We start from the raw sequence: 24,869 nt of genomic DNA on the forward strand, positions 1-24,869 counted from the left end.
AGCGAAAAGCTCCCTACCAAGCCAGGCTTTGTTCCCTGAACCTAAGACTTTACCCGGCGGCTGGCGGCGGGCGGGCCGGGAGCGAGCGAGCGGAGGCGCGCGGCCATGGCTGCCGCGGCCGGGCAGGGGGGCCGGGGGGGCGGCGCGTGAGCGGGTGGCGCGGGGCGGCGCGGGGCGGGCGGGCGCCCGCGATGTGCCACTCGGCGCCTCCCCCGCCGGGCTCGGGCTACGCGGCGGCGGGGCGGCCCTAGGAGCCGGGCGAGCGGCGCGGAGGGGGCGAGCCCGGCGTGCGAGTCTCATTGTTGTGGGGGGGGCCCGTCGGGGCATGAGGGCGAGAGCACGGCGGGGGGGGCGGCCAGACAGAGCGAGCGAGGAGGAGGAGGAGGAGGACGCGGAGGAGGAGGAAGGAGGAGGCAAAGAAAAGAAGCGGCGGCGGCGGAGGGAGAGGAGGAGGGGGCGAGGAGGCGCGCGGCCCCCCGCTCCCTCCCTCCCCCCTGACCCCCGACCCCCGCCGGCCGGCCCCCCGCCCCAGCCCCGGAGGGAGCTCATGGGAGTATGAAGGAGATGGTAGGAGGCTGCTGCGTATGTTCGGACGAGAGGGGCTGGGCCGAGAACCCGCTGGTCTACTGCGATGGGCACGCGTGCAGCGTGGCCGTCCACCAAGGTACGGGGGTGGCCCGCGGGGGGCGGCGGGACCCCGGGGGCGGCGTGCGCGGGGCGCCCCCGGCCGCGCCCTCCGGAGACCTCCTGGGGCTCGCGCGCCCCTCCCCCACCCCACCTGAAGGGAAGGGAGGCGTAGGGGGAGCTCCCCCCGCCCGGTCCTGGAAGACCGGGTCAGGCATTGTTTTCTTGCCTATTGTTCCAGTTCCGCGCCCCCCACCCTAAGTTGAGGGAGTTTGGGGAGAGTCTAGGGAGCAATGAGTGAACTCCCCACGCCCCACACCGCGGGTGTCGGGGCTGCCTGGGGAATGTTTACCTGCGAGGTGTCCCCTCCCGCCCGGTTATTTTGGTCCCGGCTCCTGGAGGAAGAGGTCAAGGGGGGGGCGTCATCCCCCCTCGCTTCCGGATAATGGGAGGAGCGGACTTGGAAAGGGAAGAGAAGGGTCCCAGGGGAGAAGGGACTCCTAAAATCCGCCGGGGAAGAGCTAAGGATAGGAGAGAGGTTGTGCAGGGGGCCGGAATCGAGAAGAGGGAGGCTTGGAGTTTCCCCCAGCAGCACATGGTTCGGGAGTTAACTCCTTGAGGAATCTTGCCGAGGGCGCAGGCTGGCATCTCCCGCCTGCCTGGCACAGGCAGCCGGGCCCCCCCTTCCTGGGACATCCCTGAATGCTGTGGCCCGGGGCTCTTCCCGCCACGCTCCTCTCGGTTCCCAGCACCGCACCTGCCCTCAGCCTTGACTTTTAACCTGATTCTGGAATACTTAGAGGTAGAAGATGAGGTCCCTAGACCCCCTACTTCTCCGCCTCGTCCCTCACTGGCCCTTTAAGAAATCCCCCCGCCCACAACAACAAAACGTGTTTGACGGTCGTGACTGTTGTCCCCTCTGGTTTTCTCTATTTCTGATGCTGATGGCTGGTCCGAGGAAGAAGCTGGGAAACAAGTCCAGAAAGGGCGTGGGGGGAGGATCTTCTAGAAGTTTAAGGTCAAAGACTCAGACTTCCCGCCCTGTTTGAAGTGCTTAATTGTGTGGTTGAAGGCTGGTGTTGGGCGGTTGGGCAGTCCTGCTGTAGAGTGAGTGACCCGTAGACTGGGGAGCAGCCCCCACTGCTGGAACTGGCTCTAGTCCTTTGGAGTCACCGCCTTCCCCCAGTTACCCTGGGAAAAAGCCACTGGCTGACAGCTTTGCTCAGCGACTGTCCTCCCCACCCTCAGCTTGCTATGGCATCGTTCAGGTGCCAACGGGACCCTGGTTCTGCCGGAAATGTGAATCTCAGGAGCGAGCAGCCAGGGTGGTGAGTTCCAGACTGCCCCTCTCCACTCCCCTGCCCCTCCCACACACCTGAGCGTCTCAGGTTGAGCTAGGGGACTCTGAGGCCGAGGCTAGGGTGGGATTTAGCTCTGTCACACAGACTTCCTGTTTCCTGCACACCTACCTCCAACCTCATCTCTGCCTCACGCTCATCCCTCCCTCTGCCCCACCTCAGGCATGGGGCTTTGGTTTTTGTCTGTTTGAACTTTTTTATTATGGGAAGTTTCCTACTCATATGAAAGTAAAGGGAAAACTATAATGAATCTCATGTCCCCTTCCTCATTTTCAACAGTTACCAACTCATGGCCAATCCTGTTTCCACTGTAGCCCCATCCATCCACCCTAGAGCTTAGCATTTCAGCCTGGGACCCCTTGAACGTGTTCAGGGAGGGTCCAGCTCAGCAGATCCCCCAACCCCTGTGCACTCTTGCATTGGCAGAGGTGTGAGCTGTGCCCACACAAAGACGGGGCATTGAAGAGGACTGATAATGGAGGTGAGGCGGGCTCATCTGCTGAGGTCAGCAGGGCCCCCTGAGCAGGGTCTGGGAAGGCAGGAATGGACTGAGTTGGGGTGGAGGCCGGGTTTCCTTTCCCTGGCTGGCGCTGGAATCTGATGGGAAGGCTGTGGAGGAGGGAACAGTCTGCAGCGTGGGGTCATAAGGGGTGGAGTCTCCGGCTTGCCATCTGCAGCTGAGGCTACCCCCACACTGCCCCAGGCTGGGCACACGTGGTGTGTGCCCTCTACATCCCCGAGGTGCAATTTGCCAACGTGCTCACCATGGAGCCCATCGTGCTGCAGTACGTGCCTCATGATCGCTTCAACAAGGTCAGCGGCCCCCCGCCGTGTCCCCTACCAGTTCCCTCCCATCTATGGGTTCCTCCAACGCTCTCTTCATCCGGTGTAATTTGATTCTGTCCAACGAGCACTGAAAGGGAACTTGGGAGGTGGGTAGGTACCTACCAGTGAACCACCCTTCTGTTGACAGACACACTCATGCTCTGGCACTCAGGTGAAATAGTAGGCTCCCCTGCAGTAGTTCTGCCAGAGGGTAGACCTTCGCAGTTACTTCATTCATTCATTCGCTGGACACATTTTATTAAGTGCCTACTATGTGCCAGACCTGGTGCAAGGTAGCTGGCACACGCTGTTCGGTGCTGATCAAGACAGGTGTGCTGCCCGCTCAATGGAACGCAAGTTCTTGCATGCGAAGACTATAAATATCAGTAAAAAGGCAAAGTAAATGCAATTTGTGATAAATGCTGTGAAGAAAATAAGACACTAAAATAAAGACCTGGTGGGGGCTTACTTTAGACCAGATGGTAAAGGAAGGAGACATTTAGGCTGAGACCTGGGGCGTGAGAAGGAGCCAGCTTCCAGGAGGGTAAGGGCCCCCAGGTTCCAGGCAGAAGAAAGCCTGGGCAGAGGCACAGAGGTGGGCATAAGCTCCCTAGTGAGCAAGACAGACAAAGGCCTTGGCCTTTCAGAGCTAACCATCCAAGGACTGTGCTACCCAGCATAGTAGCCATCGGCCACACGTGGCTACATAAATTAATCAAAATTAAAAGCAGGCTGGGTGTGGTGGCTCACACCTGTAATCCCAGACTTTGGGAGGCTGAGGGGGGTGGATCACCTAAGGTCAGGAGTTTGAGACCGGCCTGGTCAACATGATGAGACCCCATCTCTAGAAAAATACAAAAATTAGCTGGGCATGGTGGTGGGCACCTGCAGTCCCAGCTACTCGGGAGGTTGAGGCAGGAGAATCCCTGGAACCCAGGAGGCGGAGGAGGTTGCAGTGAGCCGAGATCGTGCCACTGCACTCCAACCTGGGCGACAGAGGGAGACTCCGTCTCAAATAAATAAATAAAAATAAACAACAATTAAATACAGTTTAGAATCTAGTTCCTCAGTCACGCTAGCCATAGTTCAAGTGCTTATAGCCCATGTGACTGGTGGCATTTGTCTTGGACGGCGCAGACCATAGAGCGTTTTCATCACTGCAGACAGTTCTGTGGGATAGCACTGATCTAAGACTGTAGAGAGCAAATGGAATGGAGGGGGTGGCCTAAGGACCATCAGTAGAACAGGGGCTCCCTGGAGGAGGGGACGATTGCGCTGTGTCCTGCAGACCTGTTACATCTGCGAGGAGCAGGGCCGGGAGAGCAAGGCGGCCTCGGGAGCCTGCATGACCTGTAACCGCCATGGATGTCGACAAGCTTTCCACGTCACCTGGTGAGACCCCTGTCCCACCCCCCTGCCCCCCGGGTTTGTCCTGGATGGCCACTGATCAGGCTCATCCTAGCTGCTGTCCCTTTGATGGTGGTGGCAATGCTTTGGATGGTCTTGGCTTCGCCTCAGCAGGGGGCCAGGAGGGTGAGAGGAAGGTGGCTCATGTGATCTGTGGCCTCAGCCGTCTCAGGCTGCCTTCTCTGGTTAGTGCCCAAATGGCAGGCTTGCTGTGTGAGGAAGAAGTGCTGGAGGTGGACAACGTCAAGTACTGCGGCTACTGCAAATACCACTTCAGCAAGATGGTGAGTCCTGGCGACCAGCGCATGAGCGGGTCAGTCAGCTGTGGTAAGATGGTTAGAGGGCATGGGCTCTGGGCCAGGCCAGTGCCTGGTGCTAGGAGGACAGAGAGGGAAAAAACCCAGTCCCTGCCCAAGAGGAGCTCTTCATTCGATGAGGAATAAAGTACAGCTTCAGGTGTGTGGATCAGAGCTAGACCAAGCAGTCTGTCCCAAAAGACAAAGCTCAGACCCTGCCTGTCAGAGTCTAGGAGGCTTCAAGGAAGAGGTAGCATTTAAGCTGAGTGGAGGTGGAAATCAAAGTAAGAGCCAACATTTGTGTGGGAGGCAGCATTTACTACGCCTCCGCCTTAGGACAAAGTTCCTGCCATGTGTTATTTTGTGTGGTCCCCCCACCAACCCTAAGAACTAGGTGTGCTATATTTTCCCCATTTTACAGATGAGTAAACTAAGGCTCACTGAGGTCATATAACTTATCTTGCAGCTGGTAGATGGGATTTAGAACGGGCAGCCTAATTTGAAAACTCCTCAGGAGCCTGCCAAACAGAGAAACGAGTCCCAGGCAGAGGGACTAGCGTGGACAAAGTCCTGAGAGGAGGAAGGGCATGGGTGAGCAGCGGGAGAATGGGGTGTTTGGTGGGGAAGAGGCAGGAGATGAAGTGAGAAAGCAGAGCCCGAGCTGGGCTTGCCTCTGCCCCAGGCTTCAGGGGTCCAGGGGGAGGCTGGAAAGGGTGCTACTCTGTGTCTGTGTTTGTGGAGAGACGTGTGTCCCAGAAGCTGTGAGGTATTCTGGAGCAGTTGGCTGCAGCTTGGATCTACCCCCGAGCCACAGGCTTGTCAGGCCTGTAAGCGGGAGAGTAACATGATCAGATTTGTTTTTTAGGAAGATTACCCTGGCAGCCGCTGTGAGGCTAGATCAGAAGGGCTGAGGCTGGTGGCCGGGAGACAGCTGCAAGAAGGGGGATGGAGGGGTGAGGCTGGATGCTAGAACCATTTCTAGGGAGACTTGCCTAATCGTGGGAGTGGCTGAGAAGTAGGAGTTGGGGGTGACATTTAGGATCTAGGCTCTAGACACTGGGTAAATGGAGCTTGAATACCTGGGGGGTGCCATGAACAAGGGGTACAGCTGGCTTCTGTAGGGGGAACACATGTCCTGATTTGCCCCAGACAGTCCCAGTTTATACCTGTTGCCCTGGTGTAATTATTATTAGTTCCCCTGTTTCATTTTTGAAAGTGTCCAGGTTTGGATCATAAGTTACGTGGTCACCGTGGTTTCAGGGTTTGATGATAGCTTAGGACAAGGTAGCGAGCTTGGCTTGGTTTGCAGGAGACACCATGTGGAGACATTTAGATTTGGTGGATGTCAGACTCCTGGGCAGGGTGTAGTGGCAGCTCCAGGCTTATAAGGCTGGGGCCGTAATCCCAGGTTGTCCACAAGGATGGATCAGGCGGGCCACGAAAGAGGGGGCCTTGCAGGGTATGGGGCTCTGCAGGTAGGAGCTGTGTCCAACACTGGGGAGCTGCCCACTGGTCAGATAAGGCCTGAAATTAGCCCTTGGGTTTGGCAGTTGGGAGGTAGCTGGTGACCTTAGAGGGAGCAGCTATAACCCCGGGGAGGGTGGAGCCATCAGGCTGGGTCTGTAGTGAAGGGGATGGGGGAGGCAGGCCCTGGCTGGGAGGAGACGCAGCATGTGGGTTGTTTGGGTTGTGTTGATGTTTAACTTCCCCCCTTTCTTCAAGTTAAGGGCAGCATATCCTTTGGGACAGGAGCAACCACTGTGTTTGGTGGAGGGGAGGGGCCAGGATAAAGGAGAAGAGGGTGATAGCTGAGCCAAGTGTCTGGAGGGAGGATTGGATATGGAGTGCAGGGGAGCACTGGCTCCCCACGAGGGTCCCCTGCACGCCCTCTGCTCCAGGGAAGGAGGTAGAAACGGGCCGTGGCTCAGTCAGCCAAGAGGGCACCATGGAGAGAATGAAAGACCCGGGCCCCAGTCTCACCTCCACCTGGGCCTTGCTGGGGCCCAGACGCATCCTTGCCTCTTCTGGGCCTCAGTGGTTGACTCTGCACATTGGGCGAGCCAGCTGGAACACTCTAGGATTTTCAGGCTGGGGAACACCCTTCTGCTGAGCAGAGCATCATAGAGGACATGAGGTCCTCTTAGTGACAGACGGGGCACATGGGGCTGACCCCCAGGATCAGGATCCTCTAACCTTCTGGAAGCGTTCCCTAAGCCCGTGAGAAGAGGGTTTGCAATTTCTCTCAAATCTCTCCCGCAGAAGACATCCCGGCACAGCAGCGGGGGAGGCGGAGGAGGCGCTGGAGGAGGAGGTGGCAGCATGGGGGGAGGTGGCAGTGGTTTCATCTCTGGGAGGAGAAGCCGGTCAGCCTCACCATCCACGCAGCAGGAGAAGCACCCCACCCACCACGAGAGGGGCCAGAAGAAGGTAGAAGTCCTCCCCCACCTGCCATCACTCCCACACGGGGACTTGGAGACTCACAAACATGGCTCAAAAAGCCATCATGAGGTGCCCTTAAGGTCTTGGCCCTGCCTTCTTCCTTCCTCTGAGGCCACTGAGGGCAGGAGGGGGCTGAAATGAAACGGTGGGGGGGTGAGGCGGGAGCTTGGCTTCCCTGTGGCTGTGTTAGTGGTTCCTCTGGGTCCTCCCCATGACATCACAGTGTCCCCCAGGCCCCAGACACATGGCTCTGCACGTTGCACACGTCTCCGCAGTCCAGCCATGTGCCGCCTAGTAAGTGCTCATGCCTGCATTCCCTCGCGCCACATAGCACAGCGTGCCCAGCTCCTGTCCCTCTGTGCAGCTGTGTCCCAGGTGGACACCCTTGCAGGTGTTATGTTCACGCGCGTGGTGCTCTATAGCACTGGCGTGATAATGGGACAGGCTATTTTTAGCAGGCGGGGCCGGGGGAAGGGCTGTTGGCTCTCATAGGAACTTGCCTGAATCGCTCCTGCCCAGCCCATTATCCAGCCCTCCTCAGGGAGAGATGGTGCCCACAAAACCCCATCCCTAAGGGGGTGTCAGCTCCCCATACCCACATGTCATGTTTGTCCTCGCCCAGACAGCCCCCCAGCACAATATCTAGTCACCTCTCCCTCTCCAGAGTCGAAAGGACAAAGAACGCCTTAAGCAGAAGCACAAGAAGCGGCCTGAGTCGCCCCCCAGCATCCTCACCCCGCCCGTGGTCCCCACTGCTGACAAGGTACTGCTGCCCACCTTCAGGAGGGATGGTGTGTGGGTCTGGGGTGGCAGAGGGAGGGAGGCGGGGGCGAGAGGTTGGTGAGTCAGGGACCTGGGCACCCTCCCCACAGCTTCAAGTTAATGCCACTCCCCTCCTACCCCATACCCTCTACTCCTTCTTCCAGCCTAGAAGGGGCCACCAATCACCGACCAACCATGGGATTGGGAGTTTGGGGTGCTGTCTGCCAGATACTCCCATCTGCCTCTGTCCAGAGGGCCTCAGCCCTGGGCTCTTGTCTGCAGAGAGTGGGGGACGGCACTCAGGCCTGCTCTCCAAGTTCTAGGGCCCCTGTCCCCAGAGATCGGTAGAGGACATCCCCTACGCCCCATCAGGAGGACACCCAAAGCTTGTCACCCAACCCAAATCCCACTCTGTGCAGGTTGGAGGGGCTGAAAGTTCTGACCAAGGTGGCATGGGGGGCAGGCCCCTGGACAGTATCCCGAAACTCCCACTCATCCCACCATTCCCAGCAGGGCATGGTATGTCAGGCCTGTCTCCAGAAATGGGCAACATCTGGCTGAGCGATAGGCAGGCCCTACCCTAGGCCAGGGAATTGCTAATCCAAGCTGGAACAGCCCTCCCTGCTCCCTACAACCTGCCCTCCCCATGGGAGGAGAACCTGGTAGGGTGGGGGGAGATGGAGAAACTGCTCCCTCCTGTCACCATTATTGCCCATTCACCTCCACCCCATCTCAGACGGTTGGCAGAGTTCTGGGCACCTTAGCAGGAGGTTCAGGTATCAGGTTTCCAGGGTGATGTTGCTGTGGCAACTGCCCCAGTAAACCTCTCCCCTGCTTCCCAGGGCTCACCTGGAGACCTTGTCATTCATGCCCTCTGACCTTTCCAGGGGCCTGCAGGCAGGTGGCAAGAAATGGCCAGGGGTCTGGGAGTTTTTCCAGTAACTGGATGTCCCTTGGACATGCCAGAGAACTCTGCCCATCCTCCTCCACTCGCCCCAGCACTTCGGCTACCCTTCCCCCCAGCCCCTCTCTTCCCTTGCTCTCAGAACCACATCTGGCTCCCTTCAGAACTCCAGCTGTTGAAAAGAACAAAGAGGAAGACAGAGACCAGGACTCCGCCCGGGAGGGGCAGTGCAGGGTGGCTCTCGTTTCTGGTCCAGCCTGCATTCAGCATTTATCTGTTCAGCACGATTAACTGAATACCTGGTCGCTACTAGGAGGAAAAGGGCCTTCCCTGGCAGCAGCCTGAAGCACGAACGAACTCACGGCATGCCAGGCTGTGTTCTAGAACCAGGAGATGGAGGGGCATATGGAGATTAGTCCATTTAATACTCAAAATAATCCAATTAGGTTGGAAATTTATAAACCCCATTTAATATATGAAGATGATGGGGCACAGGGAGGTTAAGTAATTTGCCTAAAAGCACACAGCTAGTAAAGTGGTAGACCTGAGATTCCAATGCAGTCTGGCTTGAAGGCTTGTGCTCTTCACCTGCCCACAGCACTGTCTCTGCAGCTGCTGCCACTGGACGTCTCATCATTTATTGACCCTATACCATGTATCTGGCATCATGCTGCTTCCAACTCACCACATATGCATAGTGCTCCCTGTAAAGACACTGACACTTATCGACGTTGAGACTTTGCACAGTATAACATGGCAGTGAGGCCAGGCGTGGTGGCTCACGCCTGTAGTCCCAGCACTTTGGGAGTCCGAGGCAGGTGGATCACCTGAGGTCAGGGGTTCGAGATCAGCCTGGCCAACATGGTGAAACCCTGCCTCTATTAAAAATACACAAAATTAGCCGGGTGTGGTGGCTGGTGCCTGTAATCCCAGCTACTTGGGAGGCTGAGGCAGGAGAATCACTTGAACCTGGGAGGTGATTGAAGGTTGCAGTGAGCCGAGATCGCACCATTGCACTCCAGCCTGTGCAACAAGAGTGAAACTCCATCTCAAAAATAAATTAAGAAAAAACAAAAACATGGCGGTGAAGGGCAGAACCCATCAGGCTCATACCTTGCTCTGCCCGACTTAGAGCCCACGCTCCTTCAACCACCACCCTGCCGCTCTCTTTGGTTTCTGGTGCCTCAGATAGGACAGAACATTTCAGTGCAGAGTGGCAGCTGTTGACATGTGGTCATGTGTGCACAGTTCTCTGGAAATAAGGGGACAGAATGTCTTGTTCCACCTGAGGTATTTAGGGAGGCTTCAGGGAAGAGGGACTTCCAAGCTGGATTTTAAAGGATGAGAGATTTCCCAGGAAGAGTAAGGATAGGCTGTCCTGGCAAACGCTTAGTGTGTGCAATCAGGTTGTCTAGGAAGAGCATGGGGTGGTCAGAGAATGGGTGGAAAGCCAGGGGGCCGAAGTTTGGGGTAGTAGCTGGAGGGCTCCAGGATGGCACCAGAGAAGCCCATTCTCCTGTGGGTCCTCTTCTCTGCCTCGCCACTTCCAGCATAGGTCCCGCCTTCTTAGACGCCCTAAGTATTCAGTGAATGAATGGACCAATGAGTAAATCTCTTCAGACTCTGGGACTGTTTTCATCTCCCTCTTGGCTTCCATCTTCCCTGCCTAAGGTGAAAGACAGACACCTTCTTGGGTTCAGTGAATTCCCCTCTGCCTTACACCCAGGAGTGCCACAGCTGCCTCCCCATATCCCTGGTCTAGGAGCTCCTGGCCACTCCCTGCCCGGAAGTCCTTCATGAAACTAGCTGTGGGCTCTCCCAGTTGAGCTAGGTCCTGTGCCCTCCTGCTTCACTCCCACATCAGGATCAGCACAGGCCCAGGCACCTGGTGTTGAACCTTCCTCTCTCCTCTCCTTCAGGTCTCCTCCTCGGCTTCCTCTTCCTCCCACCACGAGGCCAGCACGCAGGAGACCTCTGAGAGCAGCAGGGAGTCAAAGGGGAAAAAGTCTTCCAGCCATAGCCTGAGTCATAAAGGGAAGAAACTGAGCAGTGGGAAAGGTGTGAGCAGTTTTACCTCCGCCTCCTCTTCTTCCTCCTCCTCTTCCTCCTCCTCTGGGGGGCCCTTCCAGCCTGCAGGTGAGTGTGGGCATCCGGGAGGAAGCTGGGAGCAGGGAAAGCCTTTTGTCCTGAGCTTTTCTGGCAAGGGACTTTGCATATTGGTTTTGCATCTCATTTACTTCTCCATTGGTTCAGGATAAAGATGGGGAATCCCCTCCTCTCCAAACCTGCCCCCAAACCCTTCCTTCTTGAACCAGAACTCTCCTCTCCCCTTCAGGGGCCACCCCACCAACCTCATAACAGTATTCCTTATCCCCTACATTTGTGCTGCAAGGTACAATTTTTCAAGAACCCCCATTAACATTTTCTCCTATAATCGCTACAGTCATCTGGTGAGGCCAGTAGGGTGCGAGTTACTCTCCCCCATTTTATTACAGGTGGGAAAGCTGGAGGGGTCGGGGGTACTCATCCCAGGACACAGACAGTGGCAGAGCTGAGACAGGAAACCAGGCATCCCCATTCGTGGACCAGAGCTCTCTCCCGCCAGTACACGCGGGAGTGGGAGGGAGTGCGGGGATCTGGGGTCCAGCTGTAACTGTTTCCCCTCTGTGCACAGTCTCGTCCCTGCAGAGCTCCCCTGACTTCTCTGCATTCCCCAAGCTGGAGCAGCCAGAGGAGGACAAGTACTCCAAGCCCACAGCCCCCGCCCCTTCAGCCCCTCCTTCTCCCTCAGCTCCCGAGCCCCCCAAGGCTGACCTTTTTGAGCAGAAGGTGGTCTTCTCTGGCTTTGGGCCCATCATGCGCTTCTCCACCACCACCTCCAGCTCAGGCCGGGCCCGGGCGCCCTCCCCTGGGGACTATAAGTCTCCCCACGTCACGGGGTCTGGGGCCTCGGCAGGCACCCACAAACGGATGCCCGCACTGAGTGCCACCCCTGTGCCTGCTGATGAGACCCCTGAGACAGGCCTGAAGGAGAAGAAGCACAAAGCCAGCAAGAGGAGCCGCCATGGGCCAGGCCGTCCCAAGGGCAGCCGGAACAAGGAGGGCACTGGGGGCCCAGCTGCCCCATCCTTGCCCAGTGCCCAGCTGGCTGGCTTTACCGCCACTGCTGCCTCACCCTTCTCTGGAGGTTCCCTGGTCAGCTCCGGCCTGGGAGGTCTGTCCTCCCGAACCTTTGGGCCTTCTGGGAGCTTGCCCAGCTTGAGCCTGGAGTCCCCCTTACTAGGGGCAGGTTAGTGACCCCTGGGGACAGAGGGCATTTCAGGGCCCAGCCAGTCTAGTGAGGAACAGAGCTTACACATGCACTTAGAAGGAAATGGGATGGATACCACTCCAAAAGATAGAGCACGGAGGAGACAGTCACCTTCAGGACATCCCCCTCTGCATGCGTGGAGTAGAAAGGATTGGGGACAGATTGTCAGAAGGTTTTACCAAGTTTTGGGAGGGAGATTAGAAAAGCTAGGAATTCTGTAGCCCTCGGCAGGGCAGTTTAACAAGCAGGCGCAGCAAGCAGATGTCACCCAGGCAGGAAGTGACATCTTTGCAGCAAGAGGGTTAGACTGGGGCATGTAGCCAGATCCCGGGGAGCACTCGAGCTGGGGAGGGGCTGTCAGCCACCTGGCTGAGCAGGAGTCTGGGGTGGAGAGTAACCACGTGCTTCCCTCTGTCCTTGTGCCTGCAGGCATCTACACCAGTAATAAGGACCCCATCTCCCACAGTGGCGGGATGCTGCGGGCTGTCTGCAGCACCCCTCTCTCCTCCAGCCTCCTGGGGCCCCCAGGGACCTCGGCCCTGCCCCGCCTCAGCCGCTCCCCGTTCACCAGCACCCTCCCCTCCTCTTCTGCTTCTATCTCCACCACTCAGGTGAGACCTGACTCCTGGGCTCCTCCTTCCCTGGGCAGGTTGGGGACAGACTGACAGAGGACCCCAGCCTTCCATGGGAATTGGAGCAACTGGGCTGAGTTGCCATCAGACCACCCTCCGGGCTCTGGACCCCTCTGCTCCCCAGCACACCCGGCCCCCTGCACCCCGGTACACACAGTTGTGCTCTAGATCCAAGAATAACCGCCAGGGGATTCTACCTCCCTCCCTTAGGTGTTTTCTCTGGCTGGCTCTACCTTTAGCCTCCCTTCTACCCACATCTTTGGAACCCCCATGGGTGCCGTTAATCCCCTCCTCTCCCAAGCTGAGAGCAGCCACACAGGTATGTGAATATCTGATCCCCTCTCCCCTTTCTTCCCAAAGGTCGGACACCCATCACCTGCATGTGACCCCAGAAAGAATGGGAGAGCTTTCTGGCTGCCCCCTCCCTCTGGCCATTGCCCTCCCTGCAAAAACAAACAGGCCGGGTGTGGTGGCTCACGCCTGTAATCCCAGCACTTTGGGAGGCCGAGGCGGGTGGATCACCTGAGATCAGGAGTTTGAGACCAGCCTGGCCAACATGGTGAAACCCCGTCTCTACTAAAAATACAAAAAGTAGCTGGGCGTGGTGGTGGGCGCCTGTAATCCCAGCTACTCAGGAGGCTGAGGCAGGAGAATTGCTTGAACGTGGGAGGCGGAGGTTGCAGTGAGCCGAGATCGCTCCATTGCACTCCAGCCTGGGCGATAAGAGCAAAACTCCGTCTCAAAACAAACAAAATCCCAGCGTAGTGGCTCCCGCCTGTAATCCCAGCTACTCAGGAGACTAGCCTGGGCAACACAGGGAGAACCTGTCTCTTAAAAAAAAAAAAAATCCACACACAGCAAACCAGGGTACACTTTCAAGTTAGAACCCAGCGAGAAGGCAGGGCAGGGAAGTTACTGCTCCATCTCACAGAAGAAAAAGGCAGAGATGGAAGACTTGCTCAAGGCAGGAAATGGCAGACCTAAAGCTCAGATTCTGTTCTCCTGACTCCAAGCCCAGTGCTTTCACCGGTGTAGCGTGCTTCCCCTTGGCTTCGTAGTGTGTCTTGGGATCAGCGCTTACGGAGGTCTCAACCTCTCCGGGTATTTACGAGTTAAGGGGGCGGGTCACAAGCGCCCCGCCCTCTCCCTGGAGAGTCAGCCCAGCCCCAGAAAGCTAATTGGTGCAGGGAGACCACCTGTCAGGCTGGGAGGCGGGGCCTACAGCCAGGCTGCCGACTCAGGTAAGCCTTAAAGGGGACAAATATGATTCCACGTTTAAGAACGACAGAGTAGGGTGATATATTTGTTAAAACTCAGATCAGGATTCTGTGGCCCAAGGAAGAGTTTTAGTTTTGCCTCCTGATAAGGGATCTGATGAATGTAAAAAGTCATACAGAGCTAATTATGATAATAGCTGCAGTCATTAAGGGCTTGCTACATGCTAGCTAAACCCTTCAGGTAAACACTTCACATTTATTACCTTCTTTTAATCTTAATAACAGTCACTTCGGAGAGGCTGGTTAGGAGCCCAAGGTCACAAAAGTTGATGTCAGGTTTAAGTTCAATCCAGGTCTGTCTTGACCTCAAATTTCTATAACTCTGAAGATCCCAGGAAAGGAATTGGGCGGTGGATCTGAAAGAAGCCAGACAGTGGAGCCTTCAGCCCAGAGGAGGAAGAGAGCAGATGCCCGGGGTTTGCCTCCCAGGGGCAGGGTTTCCAAGCCAGGGCCCTCAGCGCTGGCCTTGAACTGCCAGTGTGGGGTTGGGGATTCCTGGGGAAAGGGATCTGCGGTGAGGTCCCAATCCCATATCCATCTGGGGGCGGGGACCCTGAGGCAGCTACCACTCCTCCACGCTGATCCCAGCCTTCCCTTCTTCCAAGAGCCAGACCTGGAGGACTGCAGCTTCCGGTGTCGGGGGACCTCCCCTCAGGAGAGTCTGTCTTCCATGTGAGGGAAGGGGCAGCCTGGAGGAGGGGCTGGGGGCAGGAGGGACACCCGAGGGAGGAGGGACGGAGAGACCGGCGTGGGCTGGAACCCCTGGGGGATACGGGAGAAGGGCCAGAGGAGCCTGGAGTGGTCGGGTCGACTGAACCCAGGTTCCCTCTGGCCGCAGGTCCCCCATCAGCAGCCTCCCCGCACTCTTCGACCAGACAGCCTCTGCACCCTGTGGGGGCGGCCAGTTAGACCCGGCGGCCCCAGGGACGACTAACATGGAGCAGCTTCTGGAGAAGCAGGGCGACGGGGAGGCCGGCGTCAACAGTGAGGAGGGGTGGCGCCGGTCGGGACGCCTGCCCTAGGGCCCTAACAGTCACCTTTCTCCCCGAGGTCCCCAAGCTTCTTTAAGGTTCCGCCCTTAGGCCCCGCCCCAGCCTTGACTCTCGGCCACCCCGGGCCTCACCTCCCATCCCTGCCAGGCCACACGACCGGCCCTGGTCCCTCAGCGCCCCACCTTTGGCCTTCGTGGCCTCCGGGCCCCGACCTTACCAAACCGCAACTTCCGCCCTTCTCTCCTGACCCGTGTGGCCTCGACCCCAGCCTCAGGCTCCGCCCCAGGTCTTCACACCTGTGGCTCCCCAAGTCCCGCCTCTCTTCTCAGAGCTCACCTGTGTCCCTCCTTAGGATGGCGCCGCCTTTTCAAGGGCTGAGCACTGGCTCCCCTCCAGGCCCCGCCCCCGGTCCCCTGGCCCCGCCTCCGCCCCCTCGCCCCTCCCTCAGGTTCCTCGCTCTCTCCGCAGTCGTGGAGATGCTGAAGGCGCTGCACGCGCTGCAGAAGGAGAACCAGCGGCTGCAAGAGCAGATCCTGAGCCTGACGGCCAAAAAGGAGCGGCTGCAGATTCTCAACGTGCAGCTCTCTGTGCCCTTCCCTGCCCTGCCTGCTGCCCTGCCTGCCGCCAACGGCCCTGTCCCTGGGCCCTATGGCCTGCCTCCCCAAGGTGAGGGGATCCTGCCCAGCCCGGGAGAGAGGCCCGTGCCCTGAAGTCCGGACTGGCCCTGACTGCAGCCTGTGACATCCCTCCCACAGCCGGCAGCAGCGACTCCTTGAGCACCAGCAAGAGCCCTCCGGGAAAGAGCAGCCTCGGCCTGGACAACTCGCTGTCCACTTCTTCTGAGGTGGGCGCTACGAGGAGTGGGGCAGGAAGGAGGGGGAGACTCAAGGCTCTCCTGGTCCCATCTCTTCCCCGCAGCTATTGGAGGCTGGGCAATGAAGTGACTGACTGAGCAATTGATTGATCCATTCAGTCCTCCCTTAATCAAGTAATATTTATGAGGTGCCCACTTAGTGCCAGCCATTGGCTAAGCAATCAGTGAGCAAAACCGGCACAGCGCTGCTTCTTAAGATAGGCTACCCCAAGCAAAGAAGGAGTAATCACAAACTGGGAGATATGTTAGTGTGGAGAGAAATTGAGGGCTGTGAGAGAGAGAACGGGGGAGGGCTGCTTCTGTGGATAGAAAGTGGTTAGGGAAGGCCTCTTTGAGAAGTATTTGTGAAGGGTTTATTATAGCGCCTCACACAAAATAATTCCTGTGTAACTGGTGGCGGTTCGAATAGCAGTTGCTATTGTGTTGTGGTTATTACTGGAATCCAACAAACTGGGTTCTTGTTCTCTCTCTGCCATTTATTAACTGTGTGACTTGGGCAGTAATAATCATAATAATAACCAGCATTAATTGCACACTTGCCCTTTGTCATGCCCTATGCAAAAATTTTTTAAAGCATTCATTTAGTCTTCATAGTAAGCCTATGGAATAGGTACTACTGTTACCCCCCAGCTTACGAGTGAGTAAACTAAGACAGGTTGAACCCAAGGTCACCCAAGCCATTGGATTGTGGACATAGGATTTGAACCTGAGCCTTTCACTTTAGCTGTAGTGCTTTTGCCTGCAGAGTTACTTAACCTGTGCAAGAATCAATGGCTTCACCCATAAAATGAGAATAGCAAGATAGCACAGGTCAAGCCCTCAGCCCAGGATCTGGTTCACCAGATGGTCACCACCATCATCATTGTCCATTATTAAATGAGGATGATGAGGGGCGCTGGACTCCCAGGAAGGGGTCAGGAAACATGATTCGTGAAGACAATTTGGATTCTTAGCCCTCATCCCCGGACCTTGCTTCTTCCAGGGTGCCTGGGGGTGAAGTGGGGGTTGCTGTGCTCTGTGAGAATGCTGGTGGGTGCTGGGCCAGGGGCCAGAAAAGTCATGCTGGCCCTCTGACCCCTCCCTTCCCCCTCCCTCCCCAGGACCCACACTCAGGCTGCCCGAGCCGCAGCAGCTCGTCGCTGTCCTTCCACAGCACGCCCCCACCGCTGCCCCTCCTCCAGCAGAGCCCTGCCACTCTGCCCCTGGCCCTGCCTGGGGCCCCTGCCCCACTCCCGCCCCAGCCGCAGAACGGGTTGGGCCGGGCACCCGGGGCAGCGGGGCTGGGGGCCATGCCCATGGCTGAGGGGCTGTTGGGGGGGCTGGCAGGCAGTGGGGGCCTGCCCCTCAATGGGCTCCTTGGGGGGTTGAATGGGGCCGCTGCCCCCAACCCCGCAAGCTTGAGCCAGGCTGGCGGGGCCCCCACGCTGCAGCTGCCAGGCTGTCTCAACAGGTGAGGGAGAGCTCAGCCCTGGGAAGGGGAACAGGGTGGGGGGCTGGCTCTGGGAAGGGAGGGATTTTCCCCAAAACACCCACAATCCCTAAAAGGAAAAATGGCCTCTGGTCTCACAGGGTATATAATCCTAGTCACCTCTTGGCCTCTAAGGACTCCACAGACTGTTAGACATGTGTGTCCTCTGGACGGTAGCTCCCCAGGGACAAAAGAATTGTTGACTTCCTGTCCTGCACTCTAGGATTTCCTTCTGGGACAGTTCTTCTAAATCAGACCTGTATCCCTCTTGCTGCACCCTATGAGCACGGTGCTCTAAGATCGCACATCCCTGCCTTGCTTCCCCTGGGTCTGAGGGAGTCTAGGGGCTTGGGATTAGGAGCAGGAGTGTTTCCCTGGCCCTCCCCCATGGTCTGTGTGTTGTCCCCCCCCCACCCCCCACCCCCACCTCAGCCTTACAGAGCAGCAGAGACATCTCCTTCAGCAGCAAGAGCAGCAGCTCCAGCAACTCCAGCAGCTCCTGGCCTCCCCGCAGCTGACCCCGGTAATGCCCCTCCCTTCCCTGCCTCAGGTGCCCCTTGGTCTGCCTGGAAGGGCACATCTCAGAGGATCAGGGCCAGCCAGGAGAGGGCAGGAGCAGGCAGAGTGAGGGGAAGCTCTAGGCTGGGCCTGTGGGACTGGGGCTGGGCCCTGTGGAGCATCCATGGCAGGTAAGGGGGATAAGATCATGCCCAGGATCCCCTGGGCATTGAGAAAGGGCTGCTGTAATAGCCCCAGGTCGCATCCTGGTGAAAGACTCTGGAGGGCAGCAAGTCCTCAGTTATTCAGCATTTCAGTCCCAGCCCCAAAGGCATTCAGGGGAAACTCCAGGGTCTGAGTGGCTGTGCAGGTGACACCACCCTCAACCACAGCAGCTTCTTTGGGTCTGTCTCCTGTTGGGTCGGCTGAAACTACCTTTGGAGAAAAGGAGTTTTACTTTTTAAAAATGAGGGAAGCAGCCGGGTGTGGTGGCTCATGTCTGTAATCCAAGCACGGAAGACTGAGGCAGGCAGATCGCTTGAGCTCAGGAGTTTGAGATCAGCCTGGGCAACTTGGTGAAACTGAGTCTCTACAAAAAATTAGCTGGGCGTGGTGGTGCACGCCTGTAGTCCCAGCTACTTGGGAGCCTGAGGCAGGAGAATCGCTTGAACTGGGGAGGTGGAGGCTGCAGTGAGCTGAGATGGCGCCAATACACTCCAGCCTGGGTGACAGAATGAGACCCTGTCTCAAAAACAAAACAGGGAGTTGAAAAAATAAGAAAAATCAACATTTTCATATAAAGAAATATTAGACAGGAAACCAATTCAGCTGGCTGCCTGTAGGGACCAGATGGGAGCAAGAGGAGTAAGTTCTTAAGGTAAACTTTGATATATTATTTTGGTTTCTGGGACATTAAGAATGCTTTGCCTATTCAAAGCAAAATAAATGAATCTTAAATGATAGAAGCAAACAAAACAAAAGAGAAAGGGAATTGAAAACTTTTTTTTTTTTTTTTTGAGACAGAGTTTCACTCTTGTTGCCCAGGCTGGAGTGCAATGGCATGATATCGGCTCACTGCAACCTCCGCCTCCCGGGTTCAAGGGATTCTCTTGCCTCAGCCTCCCAAGTAGCTGGGATTACAGGTGCATGCCACCATGCCCAGCTAATTTTTGTATCTTTAGTAGAGATGGGGTTTCACCATGTTGGCCAGGCTGGTCTCAAACTCCTGACCTCAAGTGATCCACCGGCCTCAGCCTCCCAAAGTGCTGGGATTATAGGCGTGAGCCACCGTGTCCGGCGAATTGAAAACTATTGACCTAGTCAGTAGTTTTGGCGAAACCCCGTCTCTACTAAAAATACAAAAATTAGCCGGATGTGGTGGCAGGCCCCTGTAATCCAGCTACCTGGGAGGCTGAGGCAGGAGAATCGCTTGAACCCAGGAGGTGGAGGTTGCAGTCAGCCAATATCGCACCACTGTACTCCAGCCTGGGTGACAGAGCAAGACTCCGTCTCACAAAAAGAAAAGAAAAGAAAAGAAAACTATTGACCTAGTTTAGTGTTTTTCAACTTGGGGGCGTCTGTGGTTGTCTTAGGAGCTGAGGGGTGATTCTGTGGGCAGGGCCAGAGATATTAAATACCCTGCTGTTGGCCGGCAGTGCTGCAGCTGGCAAATACCAATGGCGTGCAACCATTTTCTTGTCTAGATGGGGAGACCCAGGCTAAGTGGGAAATGCGAGACAGTACCTTGACTGTCTCACAGGCCTCTTGCCTCCTGATTCCAGTGTGATGGGGTGGGGCCTGGCCAGGCAGGGCAGGCAGGCAGCAGGGAAGAGACCCCCGGGACTGTTGGCCAACAAGCGGTCTGGCCCCCTTGCAGGAACACCAGACTGTTGTCTACCAGATGATCCAGCAGATCCAGCAGAAACGGGAGCTGCAGCGCCTGCAGATGGCTGGGGGCTCCCAGCTGCCCATGGCCAGCCTGCTGGCAGGAAGCTCCACCCCGCTGCTGTCTGCGGGTACCCCTGGCCTGCTGCCCACAGCGTCTGCTCCACCCCTGCTGCCCGCTGGAGCCCTAGTGGCTCCCTCGCTTGGCAACAACACAAGTCTCATGGCCGCAGCAGCTGCAGCTGCAGCAGTAGCAGCAGCAGGCGGACCTCCAGTCCTCACTGCCCAGACCAACCCCTTCCTCAGCCTGTCGGGAGCAGAGGGCAGTGGCGGTGGCCCCAAAGGAGGGGTGAGTAAGGGGCCCGGGGCCTTCCTGCCTCCCCTCTGAGGGATGGGTAGAGATGGATTGTCAGAAGGCTTATCATCAGGTACCTCAGCAGGGGGAAGGAAGCAACCCCTAGGTCAGCAAAGTACCCTGCCTCAGACCCCAGGGCCTCTGCTTGCACATGGGTGCCCTCCTGCACGGCCAAGAAAGATCCGATCTGAGCATGGGCTCAGAGGAAAAGGACCAATTAGAAAACAGCCTTCCTCCGGGAGGACCAATTAGAAAAAGCCATTTTGTTTCTCATCCGACCAATTAGAAAAAGATGACCCTCTGGGTAGGCCAATGTCAGAAAGGCCCTCTCCCTCTCCTGAGGGCACACGGCCTTAGCTTGCACATGCCCACGCAGCCCGGTGCTCTTCTGCAGGGTGGTTTCACACCCCTGCGCATCGGCCCTGGTGCACACCCCTCAGAGCCCAGGCCAGAGGCTTCCATTGGCCCCGTTTCAGTACCCCACAGCAGCTTTCTTGGCCTAGGAAGCTGTTCTTATCTGGGGGTTAGGACCTGACACTTTCCACACCCCCGGCCTCCCTCCCTCTCTTTCCAGACCGCTGACAAAGGAGCCTCAGCCAACCAGGAAAAAGGCTAAATCCACCCTTACCCCTCCTGACCCCCCCAAGTGGAGGGAACAGATCCTGGCCTGAGGGGTCCTAGCCTGGAGCAGGCGCCTGCGCCCAGACCCTGGAGAGCCTTGACCCAGAGCCTGTGCTGAGGTCCAGGGAGTGTGGAGAGCTCCTGGTGTCGAGGACTGAGACTGAGAGGGGAGCCCCCTCCATCTGGCCCCCTTCCCTTTCCGCACTGTCCGCTTTGTGAGGCTCAGAGGAAGGACAGTCTGCAAGCCCGCCTAGGAGGTCCATCCCCAGCAAATGTTTTGGAGGTCCCCCCAGAGAGCAGAGTGGGCCATGGCAGAAGTAGGGGGTTGGTTGGACCTGTCACATGAAATGGATCAGCACTTGAATGGGGAGAAGTGGAGGGAGAGGCCCTGGGCCTGTCCCTGCGGGGAAATCTTTTATGGAAGAAGGGCTGGACCCACTTTACCTGCAGTTTCTTCCCAGCTCGGGCAGATGGCAGAAGGGACCCCTTGGACTTTTTCTCGCCATCCCTCCCCCCAGCGCAGGGGCACAAGCTGAGCTTGTAAAAGCCCACAGATGTTGGGGGCTGGAGAAGGGGCAGGAGAGCATCACACTCAGCCCCAGCCTCCTCAACCTCTTGGGGCCCCGTGATGGGGAGGAGAGGGCAGGTGCGGGGAGGCTCTGGCCTTCCTTGGTGCCCCGCCCTTTGTTTGCACTATTGGACTTAGGAGTGCCGAGGGTGGGGAGATGGAGCTGCCCGTCTCAGTGTGTGAGTGTGTGTGTGCGTGCATGTGTGTGTGTGTGTGTGTGTGTGTGTGTGTCTGTCTGCCTGTCTCTCTCCTCCTGGACCCAGGGCAGCCAAGGGCAGGGATAGGCGCAGTGGTCAGATGAAGCAGCGCCAGAGAGGGGACCTCCCAGCTCTTATTTGCACCCTCCCCACCTCACCAACTTTGGTCCCTCTCTGGGGGCATGAATGGTTAACAAACACCAGAGCAGTACTCCAATATTGGAGAGTCGCTGGGGGCACAGGGCTTTGAATCAGGGTAGTATCCTGCCTTCCCTCCCCTGACCCCACATGGTCTCAGGGCCCCCTTAGGGCCCCCTACCCCACTGATAGCTTCCTCCTTCTCTGGCACAAGGGGAGCCCCAGGGCTTGGGGGAGGGCGTAAGGTGGGGGGAAATGCCACTGCTTTTAGCAAAAGCCTCCCTCCCAGAATTAGCCAGCTTGCCTCCTGCACCCCACCCCCACCAACCAGGGGAGCCACTAAGCTGACTAACAACTGTCCCCTCACCCACCAGCTATTTCCCCAGGGTAGAGTGGGCAATTCTCACCTTCAAAGAGTCCCCGCCTGCCCAGGCCTTTGGCACAGAGGCTGAGTGGACAGTCAGGAGAGAGGCGAGAGGCAAGGCGAAGCCTGTGTCCCTGTTTCAGTTGCACTGGGGTTGGAGCCCAGGGTAGGGGTTTCCAGCTTCCCCAGGCTCCGGCCTTGTCAGTCTCTTTGCATGTGTGGATTTTTCTGTGTGTGTTTCTGTTTGGGTTTTTGTTGTTGGGTTTTTTTTTTTTTTTTAATAAAGAAAAGAAGATGTGTATATTTTTGGCAACGACAGAAACGTAGTGCAGATATATTTTTGCCTGTGCTGCTCAACTGTTTTTTTTTTCTGATACTGAAAATAATATTAATATTCCTGTTGATAAGACTTTGTAAGATGTTAGGGAGCTGATAATGGAGGGGGGTGGGAATCCTTCAAAGGCAATTTCTTAGGCACTTGCAAGGGCTTGGGGGAGGGGGAGGCAGTTGTGATGACCTCAGAAATACTCACTTTTTATTAATGCTAAATATGTTAGAAAGAAATGATAGCATTCAGCATTTTATTCTTCTTAATCTATTAAGCTGTGTAACTCCCTGCCCCAAACCACTGAAAAGAAAAGTAACCTTCAGGCCAGGCGCGGTGGCTCACGCCTGTAATCCCAACACTTTGGGAGGCTGAGGCGGGCGGATCACTTAAGGTCAGGAGTTCAAGACCAGCCTGGCCAACATGGTGAAACCCCGTCTCTATCAAAAATTAGCCGGGCATGGTGGCACGTGCCTGTAATCCCAGCTACTTGGGAGGCTGAGGCACGAGAATTGCTTGAACCCAGGAGGCTGAGGCTGCAGTGAGCCAAGATTGTGCCACTGCACTCCAGCCTGTGTGAGAGAGTGAGACTCTGTCTCAAAAGAGAAAAAAAAAGAAAAGTAACCTTCAGAGATTCTTAGAAGAGTTGCTCATTCACACCCACGCCCTTGCCCAAGGCTGGCCCACTTAGAGCGAAACTTAACTTTTGTCTGGATGGGAAGAGAAGTAAGTCTACCCCGAGGTTGCCATGTTGAAGAGTGAGAGGTCCAAGTGATTCTGTGCATTGAAACCAAGACACCCCACCCAGAACACTTCTTCCCTCCCTCAGCCCAAACCAAAGGCTGGGGTTCTCATCTCCAAGTGGCTGTTCTCCAACTTTCCCAAGCCGCTTGCATTCCCCAGACTGGACTACTGTGGCGGTTAGGTTAGATTTGAAGACGGGGCCCAGGCTGGGTATGAACGGGTGCAGCCCTCTTCTCCTCTTCCCCCCCACATCTCTCATGAGAGAGGTAGTGGCATTTCCTTCTCAGGGAGCTTCAATGGGAAAGGTCTCGAAAGCTTCAGGAGGAGCAGAATACCAACGCAGGGGGATGGCTGTAACGATCTCACCGTCTCCTAACCTCAGTCCCTTTTTTGAGAGTGAATGGTGGAGGGTGGGAAGGGACCCAGATTTGTAGATCTCTTTGTCTGGGGGAGGGGAAGGATGTGGTTTGCAGAGCGGAAGCAGAGTTTGGAAACGCATGAGAGCAGAGCTTCGTGTGTTCCCACCCTCAGTGAGGAGGTGTGAGTGGGTGAGCATGTGGAGTTGGGTGTTCCCACCCTCAGTGAGGAGGTGTGAGTGGGGGTGCATATAGAGGCAGTGCCTGCTGTGGGGTCACAACTGGTGCATGCCAGCGCCAAAGGGACCTGTCTTTAGGGGTCATTTCAGCCAGCTCCTCCCATCACAGATGACAGCTCCAAGCCTAGAAGGGGCTCAGTGACAGGGCCAGGACAAGCCCTCAGGACTGTGGCCTCCTGGCCCTTGGTTCCCCTGCCCCACAACATGGTCTCCACATGGCTGGCTGGCTGGCTGTCCCTGTGTGTGTGTGACACACGGTGTGAGTGCAGGGCTGTGCCCGGGGTGGGAGGGTGTCTATGTGGCACTGACTGTCTTAGCTCAGAGCTGGTGGATCCTCTCCATGGACAATGACACTTTAAGGATTGTCTTGGTTTGTTTTTCCTATTTGTGGGGTATTTTCCCCCTCAGGCTCCTGGGTCTGCTGCTGCCTCAAGGTGTCCTGACCTTGAGGCTGATGAGGGGACCCCTGCCTGTTTCCCCCATACTGAGTTCTAGGGAGGTGCTCACCCCAGACTCTTAGGAAGGGTCTAGAGAAATGAGAGGAGCCCAAGCCAGGGGCCAGCTCCGAGAAAGGGTAACCTCCACGCTTCTCTCTCCCAAATTGGAAATGAAGACAGGTTTTCAAAGGCACAGGCTCCCCCTGCCAGCTTCTAGGATCTTCCTTGGTGTGCAATGGGCCAGTTAGGGGTAGGCAGCTTGCACCCAGTTCTCCTTTATCTCAACTTATTTTCCTGGGGAGAGGTGCCTAGAGGGATTGAGGTAACTTCAACTGGGAATTCCAAGGAAGGTGGGCAAGTAGCCTTGGCTCTCTCCCACCATGTCCATCAGGATTGAGAGTGTGTCTAGCTCCCGACCACTTTGTCTTGACCTACTGAAAAGTTGGGAACTGAGGGGTGCCTTCATTCCCCTTTGTTCACTTTCTCCAGCTCAACTTGGGACTTGGGTGGTGGGACTGGAGACCTCACCCCTGCTCCCGTCCCGCCCCCTTTCTATCCCAACCTGTTTCCATGTAGCAGACCCTTCCTAGGGAGCAGGGAGGGGAAGCCACAGATTGCAAACCCAGGGGCTCCTTTTTCATTCTTTCTAAAACCTTGATATCCTCAGCCCAAAGGCGATGCCCCCCTGCCACCTCCAAGCCTGGAATTGTGCATAACCCGGATCTTGTATCTTTGTATAACGGATGTTATTTGTACGAAGGGCAGTTCGTAAACAGCACTTGTTCTTTTAATAAAAGAATGTTTTGCAAAAAAAAAAAAAAAAATCCGAAGAGCCCCTGCGTAGTCTCGCTTTATGGAAGGGGACAGGAGGTGGGTGCCAACTGCGGGGGTGTAGGAGGGCGTGGGCTGCGGCCCTTCTGTCCGCACTCAGCGGCAGAGAGCGCACAGACGCTCAGCACACCCGGGCCCACCACG

At 56.7% G+C, this 24,869-nt stretch overlaps 1 protein-coding gene, 2 long non-coding RNA genes and 1 other non-coding gene across 4 annotated transcripts, besides 4 other annotated features; 2 read left to right on the top strand and 2 right to left on the bottom strand.

Annotated features, from left to right (window-relative positions):
- The first annotated feature begins 195 nt into the window (after positions 1–195).
- Positions 196–24,718, top strand: MLLT6 (MLLT6, PHD finger containing). The gene is made up of 20 exons (NM_005937.4): positions 196–664; positions 1,873–1,952; positions 2,409–2,463; positions 2,686–2,795; positions 4,096–4,199; positions 4,405–4,498; positions 6,770–6,937; positions 7,614–7,712; positions 10,535–10,751; positions 11,290–11,904; positions 12,355–12,536; positions 12,768–12,876; positions 14,440–14,506; positions 14,673–14,818; positions 15,295–15,492; positions 15,582–15,670; positions 16,801–17,150; positions 17,601–17,691; positions 19,543–19,899; positions 20,480–24,718. The coding sequence occupies exons 1-20, from the start codon at positions 556–558 to the stop codon at positions 20,519–20,521; spliced, it is 3,282 nt and encodes a 1,093-aa protein (NP_005928.2). The 5' UTR covers positions 196–555; the 3' UTR covers positions 20,522–24,718.
- On the bottom strand, positions 9,063–10,590 carry LOC124903993 (uncharacterized). Its single transcript, XR_007065742.1, has 2 exons — positions 10,501–10,590; positions 9,063–10,281 (listed from the first exon to the last, which is right to left on the bottom strand). It is a non-coding gene; the product is annotated as an uncharacterized LOC124903993 (long non-coding RNA).
- Positions 11,649–12,308: an enhancer, noted in NCBI's record as "H3K27ac-H3K4me1 hESC enhancer chr17:36872979-36873638 (GRCh37/hg19 assembly coordinates)". NCBI's record gives its function as "activates a minimal SCP1, AML or CMV promoter by ChIP-STARR-seq in primed H9 embryonic stem cells {active_cell/tissue: H9 hESC(primed)}" and the evidence as "EXISTENCE:reporter gene assay evidence [ECO:0000049][PMID:30033119]".
- Positions 12,309–12,968: an enhancer, noted in NCBI's record as "H3K4me1 hESC enhancer chr17:36873639-36874298 (GRCh37/hg19 assembly coordinates)". NCBI's record gives its function as "activates a minimal SCP1, AML or CMV promoter by ChIP-STARR-seq in primed H9 embryonic stem cells {active_cell/tissue: H9 hESC(primed)}" and the evidence as "EXISTENCE:reporter gene assay evidence [ECO:0000049][PMID:30033119]".
- On the bottom strand, positions 14,011–15,242 carry LOC105371762 (uncharacterized). The gene is made up of 2 exons (XR_934735.3): positions 15,163–15,242; positions 14,011–14,190 (listed from the first exon to the last, which is right to left on the bottom strand). It is a non-coding gene; the product is annotated as an uncharacterized LOC105371762 (long non-coding RNA).
- On the top strand, positions 14,614–14,671 carry MIR4726 (microRNA 4726). The gene has a single exon (NR_039879.1). It is a non-coding gene; the product is annotated as a microRNA 4726 (primary transcript).
- Positions 20,581–21,272: an enhancer, noted in NCBI's record as "H3K4me1 hESC enhancer chr17:36881911-36882602 (GRCh37/hg19 assembly coordinates)". NCBI's record gives its function as "activates a minimal SCP1, AML or CMV promoter by ChIP-STARR-seq in primed H9 embryonic stem cells {active_cell/tissue: H9 hESC(primed)}" and the evidence as "EXISTENCE:reporter gene assay evidence [ECO:0000049][PMID:30033119]".
- Positions 23,661–23,883: an enhancer, noted in NCBI's record as "control region 19, which was negatively scoring by a predictive classifier". NCBI's record gives its function as "activates a minimal c-fos promoter by transgenic reporter assays in zebrafish embryonic heart {active_cell/tissue: heart(embryonic)}" and the evidence as "EXISTENCE:transgenic organism evidence [ECO:0001131][PMID:20075146]".
- Positions 24,719–24,869: the final 151 nt, after the last annotated feature.

The sequence above is a fragment of the Homo sapiens genome, chromosome 17 (assembly GCF_000001405.40).
Source record: "Homo sapiens chromosome 17, GRCh38.p14 Primary Assembly".
Classification (NCBI taxonomy): domain Eukaryota; kingdom Metazoa; phylum Chordata; class Mammalia; order Primates; family Hominidae; genus Homo; species Homo sapiens.

Excerpts from the sequence above, each read along its gene's own strand:
- MLLT6 (NM_005937.4), top strand. The coding sequence starts at position 556 with ATGAAGGAGATGGTAGGAGGCTGCTGCGTATGTTCGGACGAGAGGGGC. Across the intron at positions 665-1,872 it reads CAGCGTGGCCGTCCACCAAG|CTTGCTATGGCATCGTTCAG; the intron begins GTACGGGGGTGG and ends CCCCACCCTCAG. Across the intron at positions 11,905-12,354 it reads GTCCCCCTTACTAGGGGCAG|GCATCTACACCAGTAATAAG; the intron begins GTTAGTGACCCC and ends TTGTGCCTGCAG.